The 13,954-nt window shown below is 44.4% G+C and overlaps 1 protein-coding gene across 16 annotated transcripts in view, besides 4 other annotated features; it reads right to left on the bottom strand.

Moving 5' to 3' along the window:
* The window catches only part of ERI3 (ERI1 exoribonuclease family member 3), a 134,210-nt gene extending 121,877 nt beyond the window's left edge, over positions 1–12,333 (bottom strand). For 5 of the 16 annotated variants that reach the window (XM_017002305.2, XM_047430152.1, XM_047430144.1 and 2 more), the window contains exon 1: positions 12,314–12,333. Coding sequence is in view for 6 of the 16 variants with exons in the window: in XM_047430139.1 (XP_047286095.1) it covers positions 9,904–9,979; positions 11,892–12,080 (265 nt within the window). In the remaining 10 variants the exon portion in view is untranslated. The other 11 variants (NM_001301701.1, XM_024449712.2, NM_001301700.1 and 8 more) reach the window with 5 other exon arrangements.
* Positions 12,046–12,275: a silencer, noted in NCBI's record as "silent region_809". NCBI's record gives its function as "represses an Ori minimal core promoter by ATAC-STARR-seq in GM12878 lymphoblastoid cells {active_cell/tissue: GM12878}" and the evidence as "EXISTENCE:reporter gene assay evidence [ECO:0000049][PMID:35858748]".
* Positions 12,046–12,645: a biological region, named in NCBI's record as "H3K27ac hESC enhancer GRCh37_chr1:44820763-44821263".
* Positions 12,145–12,645: an enhancer, noted in NCBI's record as "H3K27ac hESC enhancer chr1:44820763-44821263 (GRCh37/hg19 assembly coordinates)". NCBI's record gives its function as "activates a minimal SCP1, AML or CMV promoter by ChIP-STARR-seq in naive H9 embryonic stem cells {active_cell/tissue: H9 hESC(naive)}" and the evidence as "EXISTENCE:reporter gene assay evidence [ECO:0000049][PMID:30033119]".
* Positions 12,546–12,595: an enhancer, noted in NCBI's record as "active region_938". NCBI's record gives its function as "activates an Ori minimal core promoter by ATAC-STARR-seq in GM12878 lymphoblastoid cells {active_cell/tissue: GM12878}" and the evidence as "EXISTENCE:reporter gene assay evidence [ECO:0000049][PMID:35858748]".

A 13,954-nucleotide genomic window follows, 5' to 3' on the forward strand; every position in this document is an offset into this window, starting at 1 on the left:
GTTCTTCCCACCTTGGCATCCCAAAGTGCTGGGATTACAGGCATGGGCCACAGCACCCAGCCCCAGTTGCCTTCTAAATACCATTCCCCACTAAAAGAAACAGAGGTCCTTAGAGAAATGGCTGATTCCAGGGATGCAGCAAGAGAAATACAAGATGAGCGCATAACATCTTGTATCAGAAAGCAAGGAAACACCCAAATAATGATGGGAACATACCAAAAGGATACAGAAGCCACCCACTGGCCAAGAAACAATGATAGTAATGGATTATAATGCACTGAATAGAAAACCATGAGTCCATAAAGATATAAATCAATAAAATTAAACTTTGATGTGAGATATTTACATAGTTTCAAAGTATCACCCCACAAAATACTTATTAATTACAACTAGTAGTAATTTTATGATGGAGAAGCCTGGCAGACATCACCTTAATCAAGTGATCAAAGTGAACATTATCAATAATGGGATAAATCAAAATCACACGACGAGAAGAACAAAGCATCATTTCTGTTATATTCCTGAAGCTACACAACCTAAATCTAATCATGAGAAAATGTCACACAAACCCTAATTGAGAGACAATCTAAACAATAACCAGCCTGTAATCTTCAAAAGTATCAAGGTCATGAATGCCAAGGAACGTTTACTGAGGAAAGTCTAAAGGAGACTAGAGACTTGATAACCAAATGCAACCCACGATTCTGAACTGGATCACTTTGCTGCAAAGAACATTCCTAGGACAACTGGCAAAACTTTAATGGGGTCCAAGGTTTATATAGAGGTTTTATATCAATGTTAATTTCCTGATTTTGATGGTTGTATTTTGACTAGGTAGGAAAATGTCCTTGTTTATAGGAAATGCACACCAAGCATTCAGGGTGATGGGGCATTAGGTCGGCAACTTAACCCTCAAATGGTTCAGGGAAAAAATTCTTTCTACTGTACTTACAACTTTTATGTAAATTTGGGCTGTTTCAAACGTTTTTTTAAAATTGTTTTTTAAAATCAGCTGGGTGGGGTGGCTCACATCTGTAATCCCAGCACTCTGGGAGGCCAAGGCAGGCAGATCGCTTGAGGTCAGGAGTTCAAGACCAGCCTGGGCAACATGGCAAAACCCCATCTCTACTAAAAATACAAAAATTAGCCAGGCATGGTAGCACACCCCTGTAATCCAGTGACTCAGGGGGCTGAGGCAGGAGAATCGCTTGAACCTAGGAGGCAGGGTTTGCAGTGAACTGAGATCACATCACTACACTCCAGCCTGGGTGACAGAGACTCCATCTCAATAAATAAATAAATAAATAAATAAATAAATAAATAAATAAATAAAATTGTTTTTTAAAATCCATGTGCAATGTGGTTACAATTTTAAAATTAAAAATATCACACAGACAGTATTTGAAGAGACAGATCTCCCTGTAATGCCCACAGAAGGTAGGCTGCATGTTCTCTCTGGTAGAGAGGCTCAAAGCATCTCTCAGCCCAAACAGTATCTCTATCCAGCCGAGTTTCCATCAGAAGAGCCCCTACTCAATGCCCACTTCACTGGCACTCCTGCTACCATACAGCCTTCTCAGGAAACACACCTGCTCCCTGCAGCAGCATCCCACTTGCCCTTGCACCCTCCGGTGTCTTAGGGATTTCTCTTTTCTATTGATGTCTTTATGTTTTAGTCACAAATTTGCAGGCTATAAGTCTATAGCTTATAATATCAACTGGGACTTTGAGTATCTAAATGAGGGCCAGAACTCAAAAGAAAGTTTATGATTCTGCCTATTTCTGCAAACTATCTTTCATCAGAGACTAAGATTTATACACATTTATTCTCAGACATCCTTTTCCGTCTCCTAGCAAATTAAAGGTATTAAGTAGCCCATGGCAAGGAGGAAAATGAATGATTCTCTCCTCAATATGAAGGGCCCAGGTCCCCAGTGGGGACAGGGGAGGGGTAAATGGGACTGCCACGGGGCCAGCCCGATTTGGAGAAGCAGGCCTGCGCCAGAGCCCCTGGAGGATGGTCTCTGTGCAGAGTATTTACACAACAGACACCAATGGCTCCTCTGCAGCCATTACTGTCTATCAGGTAAATAACACATGTGCCAAAACACACATTTAATGAGGGAAATAATATGCCTTTATAAAAAGACTCAATCTGTATTTACCTGAGAGACCAAAGAAGCACCAAATCACCAGATTAGAGGAACCACAGAGGAGTCGTTCTGGTGTCTTGGGTAAATAGACATTTTATAGCCTCCATTACTGGAGGGGTGAGCAGAGGGGGTCAACCTTTAACATCCACACACACAGGCCAAGGGAGTCCTCAGGATGGGAAAACAAGAGGAGGCCACTGTGAAACAGGTGGTCTACTCCCACTTCCACCTCCCCAGCCACATGTACTTGGGATCTCTGGGATGGTGTATGTTTATACCACCCCTGGATTCAATTCATTCCATTAAAAGCCAGACTAGGAGGCAGGGATACATCCAAGTAACTCCAAGTTACCTGCAACAGGTTCTGAGTCCAGCTGACTGAAAGCACCTAGGAATACAACAATCATAGCTTCCTCAGTTCTCAGTCCTGGTGTAAGTCCCCAACCCAATCTGACCTGCAGTATCACAAGTGCTCAGGCACCTGAGTCACAGAAACAACAACAAAAAACACAGTAATACCTGTCTGGAACTCAGTCACTGGCTTTGTCTCAAGCAGCTAAAAATAGCCTGGGAAAAAATACAAATAAACTGCATCCCTTCAAAAGTCATAATCTTCAATCTAATGAATATATCCTTACTGCCAGAGCACTCTCTGTGTGAAAAACAAACTGTCAAAGGTGAAAGAAAACCTAAGAGGCAACACAGTCCAACCAGCCAGGGAAAATGAGATTAGAAAGAGAAAAGGACTGCCCAAGGTTCACACTGCAAGAAATAGTAAGAATAGAACCCAGGCTCTCAACTCCAAGGCCAGGGTCTCAGGCTACTGCTCCAACACAAGGAAAAGGCCTCACTAGTCATTTCCCAAGCTATGCAGTCTCACAGAAGAGGCCAAGAGCCTGAGGACTCTGTCTAGTTTGTTGAAGGCTAGAGGTTGAAGACAAAACAAAGCTTGACATGCCCTGGAAGCTCCACATGGTCCCAATGCGGAAAGGAAGCAGGAACTCTAAAACTGAGTCCTCACCTCAACAAAACAGTCTCCTCTTCTCTACACTCAGTCCCTGCCTTGGCCTGTAGCTACAGCTGCTTCTGCTCCAAGGCACAGCTATGGAGAGCTCCCCCAACTCAGAAGCAGCTGCTAATAATCCCAAACTACCAGCAGAGCTAAAATCACTAAAGATCTTCAGGAACACCAAATTCTGAGGGCAACATCATAGGTCACAGCAGGCTTGCTCTCCCCTTCAACTGGTCTGTTTCAGCAGCTCCAAGAAACACATAAAAAGAGGCAATTGTTTGTGATTTGCCTGCTGTTTGCTAACCCAGCAGCCATGCCCAGTAGCTTGGGCAAACTCCTTTCAGCGGCCAAAGCTTGAAGACATCTTTTTGCAAAGTCCTGCAAGTCAGTTGCAACCTCATCACACACGAGAAGGGGCAAAGCCTTGCTTCCTAACACACCATAAATAGACTAGAGATGGATGGAGGGCAGGGTATGGTAGCATCATCCCTTTAAGCACCTCTCACATTTGTAGACAGCATCTGATCCCAGAAGAGAGGTACCCAGAACTGTTAAATACTTCCTATACTCCTGGTCCCAAGATGGGGAACTGCTGTAAAAGCAAGGAGTTATATAATCTAGTGTTAAAACACTGGTAATAGACAAACCTAGGTTCAAATCCTGACTCTACTACAAATTATTTGTAATAATAGCTATAATAATAATAATACCTATGTCTTTGGGATTCAATTCAACCGTGCGATGTACAAAAAGTGCTTTGCACAATAGCAAGCGCTCAATAAAAGGGAGCTGTTACTACATGAGAAAGAGAAAAAGCAAACACCCTTTTCTGAAAATCTACTCCAAGCCAGGCATTGTATCGATGATTTACATATTTTATTTAATCCTCCCAAGTATCAAGCAGAATGGGTAAGAATATTCGCATATCACACATGAGGAAACTAAGGGCTCGGAGGTGCTCAGCTCTTTGGGGCCCTGTTCTCTACCACGTGTGATGGCCCACATTTCCCCACATGACTGATTCCCTCCATCCGACAGAGGACCAACAATGCATATCAACTGCAGTTTTTCTTTTGAGGCAAAGTGTAACTTTAACTAAAAGTAACTCAACCTTAAGCAATAATTAAGTCTATCCAAATCATCCTAACTAGTTTTCATATTTTTTTATATTTAAAAAGAAAAATTACAGGCCTGAGCACAAGAGCAGAATTAAAAGAACGGCAGCACAAGGAACTCGAAGTCTCTTCTCAAACAAAATTCCACAGGAGCAAATCTTTCCATCTTACAGAGTGGAAACTGGCAGGAGGCAGGGTTATAACCAATTCTTACTCAAGTACCCAAATGTGACGTTTCCTTTTACAAATTTGTGCTTTGGCAAACGCTGCTCCCTATTTTGGAATGCACTTCCATTTTTTGCCAGACAAATTATGACTCCTTCCTTAAAATCCAGCTCAAATCTCCCCCCTTTTGGTGGCTTTCTCTGACACTCCATCATAAAGCTAATTGTTTAAGTATGATCCAGTGGCACAGTTTATTCCTACTTCATAACTTTTATCTCACTATGTTGTAAGATATTAGGTATGTTTCTTCTACTACCAGTAATTTTCAAAGAGTTAAGGAAGAAGGATAGAAGACAGCAGTATAGGTGAATGTGTGCATGTGTTAAAAAAAAAAAAAGCATATTTGACATAATTCTTTGACTTGCTTGTTAGACTAATGCATTTCAAAATTTCAAATAGCATTAAAGAAGAGCATGAGATTGTTTTGTTGTGTGTGTGTGTGTGTGTGTGTGTGTTTTAATCTAAACTGTGCTAAGTCTCAGAGTTTTTAAAGCCTGAGAAACACTGAGCTAGATCCCTAAGGGTAAGGACCACATTTTATTCCTCTGTATTCCCAGCACCCAGCACAGGACCAGGCACAAAGTAAGCAAGAGTAAATGTTTGCTAAATGAATTAATATGCCCACAGTCATGATGCCAACTGCTCTGGAATTAGAACATGCTAATTAGAACAGAGCAGGGCCTAAGCAGCAAACAAAGCTTCTTCTCTTCCTTTCTTTATCCTTCCTCCTAGCCCACCCCATTCTGTCCTCCCTAGTTAAAAAGAGCGAAAAAGAGTGAAAGAAAGAGTGAGAGACACAGAGAGACAGACAGGGAGAGAGAGAATTGCCTTGGTGCCGGAATACCATTAAAAGGATTAATTTAGGGACCAGTGTTTGGACTGTCACATCCAATCACTACCCACAGATCTACAGCTTCCCAAATCAGGCTCATGCAAAGAGGAATCAATTGCAAGGACACAGAGGGTCTGAACAGGCATACTAATGGCCTCCTGAGGTGCCAGCGGCCAGCTCTGACACTCCCATAAATTATCCGCCTTTTGATTTTACCTGTAGCTGTGGGGCACAAGGCACAATTTTGAACACATCAAAGCAATCCCTGGTAACCCAAGGCTCCTCAAGGAATGTCCCCAAAGAGGAAAGCCTAAAAACAATGATCCAAAAGGGAGTCTGCTTCCCAACAGTTCTGGTTCTAGCAATCATTAATTAAAACCCAACAGAACCAAATGGATAATGTGGGACCCAAATCAAACCTAGTAGATCTGGACACGGCATGCATCAGACTGCAGTTCTGCAATGACTATGCACCTCTCACTCAAGGAAAGTGAAATCACAGCAATAAACTAACACACTTTCATCTGGATGGCAAATCTGCCCTAGCTTTGACAGTACCTCGCAGCAGGACCTCAGGCAACTCATTTAACCTTTCTAGGCCTCAGTTTCTTCATATGGTATCAAGGACAAGAATGCTGACCACCTGACCCACTTCCCAGAGTGCTGGTGAAAAGTAATTTTAAAAAATTTGAGAGGCACTTTACAAAGATGTAAGGCCACAGGGTATCAACACTAATAAATGACCCCAGACAGACAGGGAGGAATGCTGGTCACACTTTGGTGAATTTCTATCGGGAAGCTGCTCACTCGATTTGCTTTACTGATGGTGTTGGGACTAAGGTCCACACTGAAAAAAGTTCTGGGATTGTTTTTTGTTGTTTTGTCTTGAGATGGAGTCTCACTCTGTCACCCAGGCTGGAGTGCAGTGGCTCGATCTCAGCTCATTGCAACCTCCACCTCCCGGGTTCAAGCAATTATCCTGCCTCAGCCTCCTCAATAGCTGGGACTACAGGTGTGTGCCACCATGCCTGGCTAATTTTTTGTATTTTTGTAGAGATGGGGTTTCACCATGTTGGCCAGGCTGGTCTCAAACTCCTGACCTCCTGACCTCAGGTGATCCACCCGCCTTGACCTCCCAAAGTGTTGGGATTACAGGTGTGAGCCACCACGCCTGGCCAGTTCTGGGATTCTAAATGAACACCCATTGTCTGAAAATTTTCCATTATGAAAAGCAGTGCCTTGCTTTAGTTGTAAATTCCTCCTGTCTGCTGGCTGCCACCACAAGCAGCTATCTTTTTAGCATATGTTCACAACGACAACTGTGAGGACACAAAAAATATGAAGCCAAAAGCCAAGTCACCCAAATACTGGCTGCTTTTTAAAAACTTATTAATTATATAAAATTTGATTAGTGATAAAAGTTATCAAGACACTGTGCAAAGAGTTTTACATTATTAAATCCTTCAGCCAACTCGATTGTCTCATTATCTCCATTTTACAGATAGCAAAGTGAAGCCCAGAGAGGAAGGCACTTGCCCAAGGTCACATAAACACTGCTATCAGAAACCTACACTAGGGCTTGTAGGATGAAGACCTCCTACAAAAGAAAAGTAGGAAGAAAGGGAAAGTGCAGACATGGGACCCTCAGCTCTAACCTATTCATCAGACGCTCACCAAATACAATACTTTATTTGGTCCCTGTCCTTGACATATACCATCATACCTGAACTAGGAGACATCTCCAAAATGTCTGGAAGAGGCCATCAGTCTTCTACAAGCAAGGAAAGGAGAAACCAAATAGGACATATATAGAATGAGGACAATTTCCTGGAAAGCTTAGGAAAATGGGTCATCCTCTGTGTGTACAGTTCAAGAAGTTCGAATTAATTGACAATAAGCTATGAGCCCTAAGACCAAGACTCCTTCCAGGGCTCCGTTTATTCCATACTTCATTAAAATATAGTTTCCAAAGGATTTTAATCTTTTTTTTTTTTTTGAGACAGAGTCTCGCTCTGTTGCCCAGGCTGGAGTAAAGTGGCACAATCTCGGCTCACTGCAACCTCCACTTCCCAGGTTCAAGTGATTCTCATGCCTCAGCCTCCCAAGTAGCTGGGATTACAGGCACATGCCACCACACCCAGCTAATTTTTATATTTTTAGTAGAAACGGGGTTTCGCCATGTTGGCCAGGCTGGTCTCAAACTCCTGGCCTCAAGTGATCCACCCACCTCGGCCTCCCAAAGTGCTGGGATTATGAGCATGAGCCACCGTGCCCAGCTCTTTCAATTCATTTTATACCATCTTTCCCTTTCTACATCTTTTCCAGTCTGTAAAATAGAAGCCAGTATCTCCAACAAATTCTTTGGTAGACATTCTAGTAGATGGGTAGGAAGTTAGTAAAGAGAACTGTTATATATGCAAAGATTCAGTTATACTCTTTTTTTTATTTATAAGAAAAGCGTATTTATAGATCAGTTTTGTTGTTTTTGGTTTTTTTGTAGAGTTGGGTCTCAGTATCTTGACCAGGTTGGTCCCAATTTCCTGCCTCAAGCCTCAGCCTCCCAAAGTGCTGAGATTATAGGCACGAGCCATCGTGCCCAGCCATATACTCAATTTTTAAGGACCAAAATAATGCCACAGAAGATAAAAATAAAATGCTATCCACGTAATTGCCACAGCCTCCTGACTAGTCCTGCTGCTTCCAGTATCATCTGTCCCCTTCAATCCATTTTTCACAATGAAATCAGAGCAAACTTTTTTTTTTTTTTTGAGACAGAGTCTTGCTCTGTCACCCAGGCTGGAGTGCAGTGGTGCCATCTCAGCTCACTGCAACCTCCGCCTTCTGGGTTCAAGCAATTCTCCCGCCTCAGCCTCCCAAGTAGCTGGGATTATAGATGTGCACCACCATGCCCAGCTAATTTTTGTGTTTTTAGTAGAGACAGGGTTTCAACATGTTGGCCAGGCTGGTCTCAAACTCCTGACGTCAAGTGATCTGCCCACCTCAGCTTCCCAAAGTGCTGGGATTACAGGCGTGAGCCACCATGCCGGCCTGCCAACTTTCTAAAACATAAATCTAATGTCAGTCTACTGCTTAAAACCCTTTAATGGCTTCTTACTGTTCTTAAATCTGATCCAGAGGTCAGCAAACTATGTCCCATGGGCCAAATCTAACTGTCACCTTTATTTTATAAATAAAGTTTTACAGGAATACATCCATGCTCTTCCTTTTCATACTGTCTGTGGCTACTTTCATGCATAACTGCAGAGTTTAGTAGAGTTGAGAAGTTGTGACAGAGACCCAAAGCCTAAATATTTACTATCTTATCCATTACAGAAAAAATTTGCAGAGCACTAATCTAATCTTTTTTCTACTCCCTGGTCTAATCCTAAGAGTTTATAAGGCTAAGGCTCTGGCCTCTGCTTAGCTCCTGCTTCATCTCTCCCCATATCCTCCTGTCCCCTGACCACTAAGTACTCTGTTTCAGCCACATTGAACTTTCTCAAATTCAACAAAGCTCTGACACTTGGTCCCTCATGTCTTCACCTAATTTTTTTTTTTTAATTTCCCGTGTTCTTTGAGGGTTCGTTTAATTCTATGTGAGGAGGTTTACTTCCTCTGAGAGGCCTTCCCTGAGTCTACAAGTCTGGGTTAGAGACCTTTCTGAGTATTCCCAAAGCCTCTACACTTCCCTTACTATAGCACTCTCAGATCATATCATAACTGCCTTTTTACTATCAGTCTCTCCCATGAATTTGTAAGCTCTATGGTGTCAGGGAAGGTGGCTTTCTTGTTCACCACTACAATCCCAGGAACTAGCACAGTGCCTGGCCCTTAGCTATTGAACAAACAAGCTCGAGTCCCTGGATATCAATCATCCAGAGTATGCCTCTTTAGCTGGTCCCTGATCCTTGTAAAACAGACAGGTTGGAACTAACCACCCACCAAAAGGTGACATGCAACCTAAATTAAACCAAGATCCCAAAGGCCTTGGTCAAATACATTAGCAAAAGCCAAACGAGAGCCAGGTGTAGTGGCACATGCCTGTAGCTCCAGCTACTTGTGGGCAGGAGATCACTTGAACCCAGGAGTTCGAGCCCAGCATGGGCAACCTAGCAAGGTCTCATAGATAGATAGATAGATAGATAGATAGATAGATAGATAGATAGATAGATAGATAGATAAATGTTTAAAGCCAAATGAAGATGTTTCTTCCTATTTTCTTAAGATGTGTATTTCTCAGGATAATGGGCTATTCTGGTTCTATTCAACCATCCTGAACCTAAAGTAGGTGCTCATGAGATGCCCATAAAGCAGTTGTGACAGAACTTGACAGTCTGGATCTCCCACCTCCAACTCTTACCACTTTAGAAACTTTAAGTAAGTTTCTACAGACTTTGAGCATATGTTACTTTATCAGAAGAAGCTACAAAAAAATATGATTCGTTTAGACTTTGGGGATACATGGGAAAAAAAATACAATCTGCATCAGCCCCCACCCCCTACCCTCCAAGCCCAAATACTCAGAAGAAAATAAAGCCAGACTTGACCATGCAACAGGATTCTCACCTCTCCTTACTTCGAAGATGCCAAGACCGGCAGCTGGGGATGCTGAAGGTTCTGTGAGAGCTGGAAAGCCCCAATGCTGTGGATAAATACACATCTCTGCAACAAGTCTATTTCAATACCAAGGATCAAATCCCCATGAAGGATACTACACCTCAAACTCTAAACTCAAACTTCGGGATAACTGCTATCTATGTGCAAAGACAGTGCCCCCACAGAGCTTTCAGAAACTATTAGTACTACATTTGTAATGATTTTCATGTTCTCTAGTCATATACTTTTGCTCCTAAGGAGGCTCACCTCCTAGAAACACTAAACATTTACCGAGAAAGATAGCTATGAAGTGGTGCCTCTGGGTAGTTTCAGAATCCTAGTCTAGTCAAGGAGGAAGACACTGGTAAGGCTGACAATATTCAGAACTAAGGAACTAAGGCTGGGCCAGGACTGGGGTAGGGGTTGGTTGCCACAAATCCACAAGCCATACTGAAAATGGCCACATAGACTAGGAAACACTTTCAGGATAGTTCCAAGCCTGCTTCAAGCTCTAAGAAAGTCAAGGTAACTAAATCCCAAGTCAAAACATCAATAGATACCTATCATCCTTTTCAACTAATTCATATCCTCCAAAGGACCAGAAGTTGCAGAGATGCCCCTGTTAGTGATGTCTTTTGCATAAAGAAACACCTAGGGTTGGAACTAATATATTCCTGTCTACCATTCCACACATTTAAGACTTTCTTCTACTCAGATCCCCTGGGAAAAGGCCACTCACCAATTTACCCCACCACAAAGAAAACACTTTTTAAAATGAAAGGGAATAAAAGCACTTTTATTTGGAAATTTCAAGTTGGAAGAAAAGCTCTTAGCCAAGCTCTATGACCTAGCTAGCTGATTATTTACAGGATCTTTGGGCAGGAATTGTTAATGAGCTTTTAATTTGGAGTGCTTAAGTTGCCAAAGTGCTCTGAGCTCCAGTGAAGCACCACAGAATCTATAAAGGAAACCTTATCAATCACTTCCCGGCAGCTCCCTTCCCCCAACCCCCACCTCCTGAGGAAAAGGCAGCCAAGTGGGTTTCTAACCAGGATCACAGACACACATTAGTGGAGTCACACTCCAAGTCCCTGTTTATAAATTGGCTTTTAAATGGTAGGAGATTCAGGTATAATAAACTAAGCTCCAAGCAAGAACCCACTAAAACAAGGCATGCTGTATATGATAAAGTCAGAATAAAGCAGAATTTGATGAAGCCAATTTCTGGAAGAAACTCTACAATCAAAACTCATTTAGCCACTCACAACCTACTATAGTTTGAATAGCGTACACTCTTTTAGCCAATAGGATTCATGTTTTGCTGCCCTTCCGCTGGGAGACTGATTAAATGTCTGACAAGAGTAAATGCCATTGAAGTGGCCAGAGACCTCTCGCAGACACAACGATGGGCACTATTTGTTGCAAAATCCAGCTCTAAGGACAAAATCCAAACCCCCATTGAGGGGCCCCACATCCAGCATCTTCCAAGTCAACAAGGAGCAGTTATATTTTGCAAGAACTCGCAGTCAAGCCTCAATCCAAGTTCATGCTTTTTTTAAGAAAACACCTGTTGCTGGACCATTTGCAAGACAGGCAAACAGAAAGCTAGCCAGGTTAGGCCCTTATTCACTCCTTCCACCATCACTACTACCACCGCTTCAGATTTACAAAGAGGTAAACTGCTAACCTGGTGTGTGGGCATGTGTTGGCGAGAGGGTCAAGGGAATGTTCTACCCACAATCTCCATGCTCCATTTCTAGCCTCTCTAGTCAAACCTTTTTCTTCTCTAGTAATCCCAGTAAGTCAACCCCCTTAATAAACTCACCCATCCTGTCTTGCAAAGCTCTGCCCCGCTCCCCCTCCGCCAGAACATTACTCAGTAGATTAAGTAAGCATCCAGGGTAAGCACATGGGCCAGCACCCCAGGTTGCATAAATTCTGCGCACCGCGACCCTCACCCCGCATGCATTAACCAGGGCCCAATCTTGGCGGGGCCATTCAGCATCACCCACCCCGGGGTGTTGCCCCCAACTCGGGCCCATCCAAGTCCAGGGGAGAGTAAGGGGAGGGGCGGGGGGCCAGGAGACCAGCCCTCCTTCCCAGGGCCGCCCCCGCCCCCCGTCAGCAGCGGGAGAGGCTGTCGCCATGGCAACGCCCCCTCCTCGGGGCCAGCGCGGCAGGCTCCCTCCAGGTGCAGGCCCCGACGTCTCCCTCGGCCTCAGCAAGCGCTCAGGGCAGTTGGCGGCGGCGGGCGCGGCCCGCGCCGACTGCGGCGCCGGCCAGGCAGAGGCAGGGCCAGCTCCGCCCGCTCCCCACCGCCCGTTCCCGGCCGCCTGAACAGCGGCAGCCAGCACCACGAGTCCACAACACACCGACTCACCTCCGCGCACTCTGACCCCGACCGACGCGGCGGACGGGCGGGCGCTGTGGCCAACCGCTGAGCCCGCTGCCGACCCCTTTGACCAATGGGCTGCAGTCAGGCGGGGCTTCTTCTCCCCAAACGCTCGCTCTCCCGCCGACATGCGCGCTAAGGTATGTCAAGATGGTGACTCCCGGCCGCCGGCCTTATGGGACTTGTAGTTTTGACGTTGCACAAACTCAGAAGAGAAGACGGGGACGGGGACATCACTTCTGATCTGTGAAAGGAATTTTTTTAAAATGAAACTTTCTATGGCCTACAGCGATCTAACCAGGATCACAGACACACATTAGTGGAGCCCCCCATCTCCGTTTTCCCGCCCTCCAATATACCCGTAAGGTGAATGTGGGCTCACAACGTGACAGAATTCTATTTACATGACTCCTCATGATTCGTTCATTCAACAAGTAATTATTGTCATCTACTTTCGGATGTGGGCCTGGGGGAGACCTGAGACAAGGAGGGATTAAGCTAAGAGGAAAATGCTTAGATTTGTGAAGGGCCGTCCTAAGGAAGAGGGAACTGGCTTGTTCAGGTCCACTCAGAGGAAACTTCTGTTTAAAAGGTTTCTGGCCTCAGCTGTGAGGAGCTTCCCCAGTCAGTCTCTCCAGTAAGCTGGAGAGACCTGTGTTTCTTCATCCTGGTTATGCCTTTCTGGGTAGTCATGGGTCCCAGGTTATGAGCTGGGAATGATGGCTTTGACAGCTTCCCAATCGGTCAGGACCCCATCCTCTGGGCCCAGCTTCAGTTACCAAGCCCCTCTGTGTGCTGTCTGCATACTTACACTTAGGATGATGTCATTTCTGGGCCCTACCACCTCTGAGAGCGGACCTTACCATAACGGTTTCCACCTGAGCTGAGAGTGCCTGGTAATCCCCATATCAGGGAATGCCTTCCTTAATCCCACCCACGTCATAGGTTAGGTGATTCTGCTGTGGACCTATAGCATTTATCATATTGTCTTATAATTGTCTGTTTCCTTGTTGTCGCTCCCACAGGGTTTTAAGTCCTTTAGGAAAAGCATTTTTTCCATATTGTTCATGTTGTATCAGTAATACACCGCATAGGGCAGGTATAAAGAAGGCCCGCAATAAATGTCTGCGAACAAATGAGGGAATATCCAGCAGCAGGGACAGACTTATCCCGAGGTCAGTAAAGTGGAGGCACTATCCCCCAACTCTTGGAGCTGGAACAGATTCTCCTATTATTACCTACACATTAACCCCAGTTGGTCAGTCAGTCCATCTGTATTTATAGTGCCTCTCTTAAGTGTCAGGCACTGTTTCTGTTGCTGAGGATTCATTGATGAATAACGACACACCTCTATTCTCAAGGAGCTTTTAAATTGGAGAGGGAAGCTGGGTGTCGTGGCTCACGTCTGTAATTCTAACACTTTGGGAGTCTGAGGCAGGAGGATCCTTTGAGACCAGGAGTTCAAGACCAGCTTGGGCAACATAATGAGATTCTCATCTCTACAAACAAGTTAAAAATTAGGCAGGCATGGTGGCACGTGCTTGTAGTCCCAGGTACTCAGGAGGCTGAGGTGGGAGGATCACTGGAGCCTGGGAGGACAAAGCTGCAGTGAGCCATAATAAATAAATT

Source organism: Homo sapiens, chromosome 1 (genome assembly GCF_000001405.40).
Source record: "Homo sapiens chromosome 1, GRCh38.p14 Primary Assembly".
NCBI lineage: Eukaryota > Metazoa > Chordata > Mammalia > Primates > Hominidae > Homo > Homo sapiens.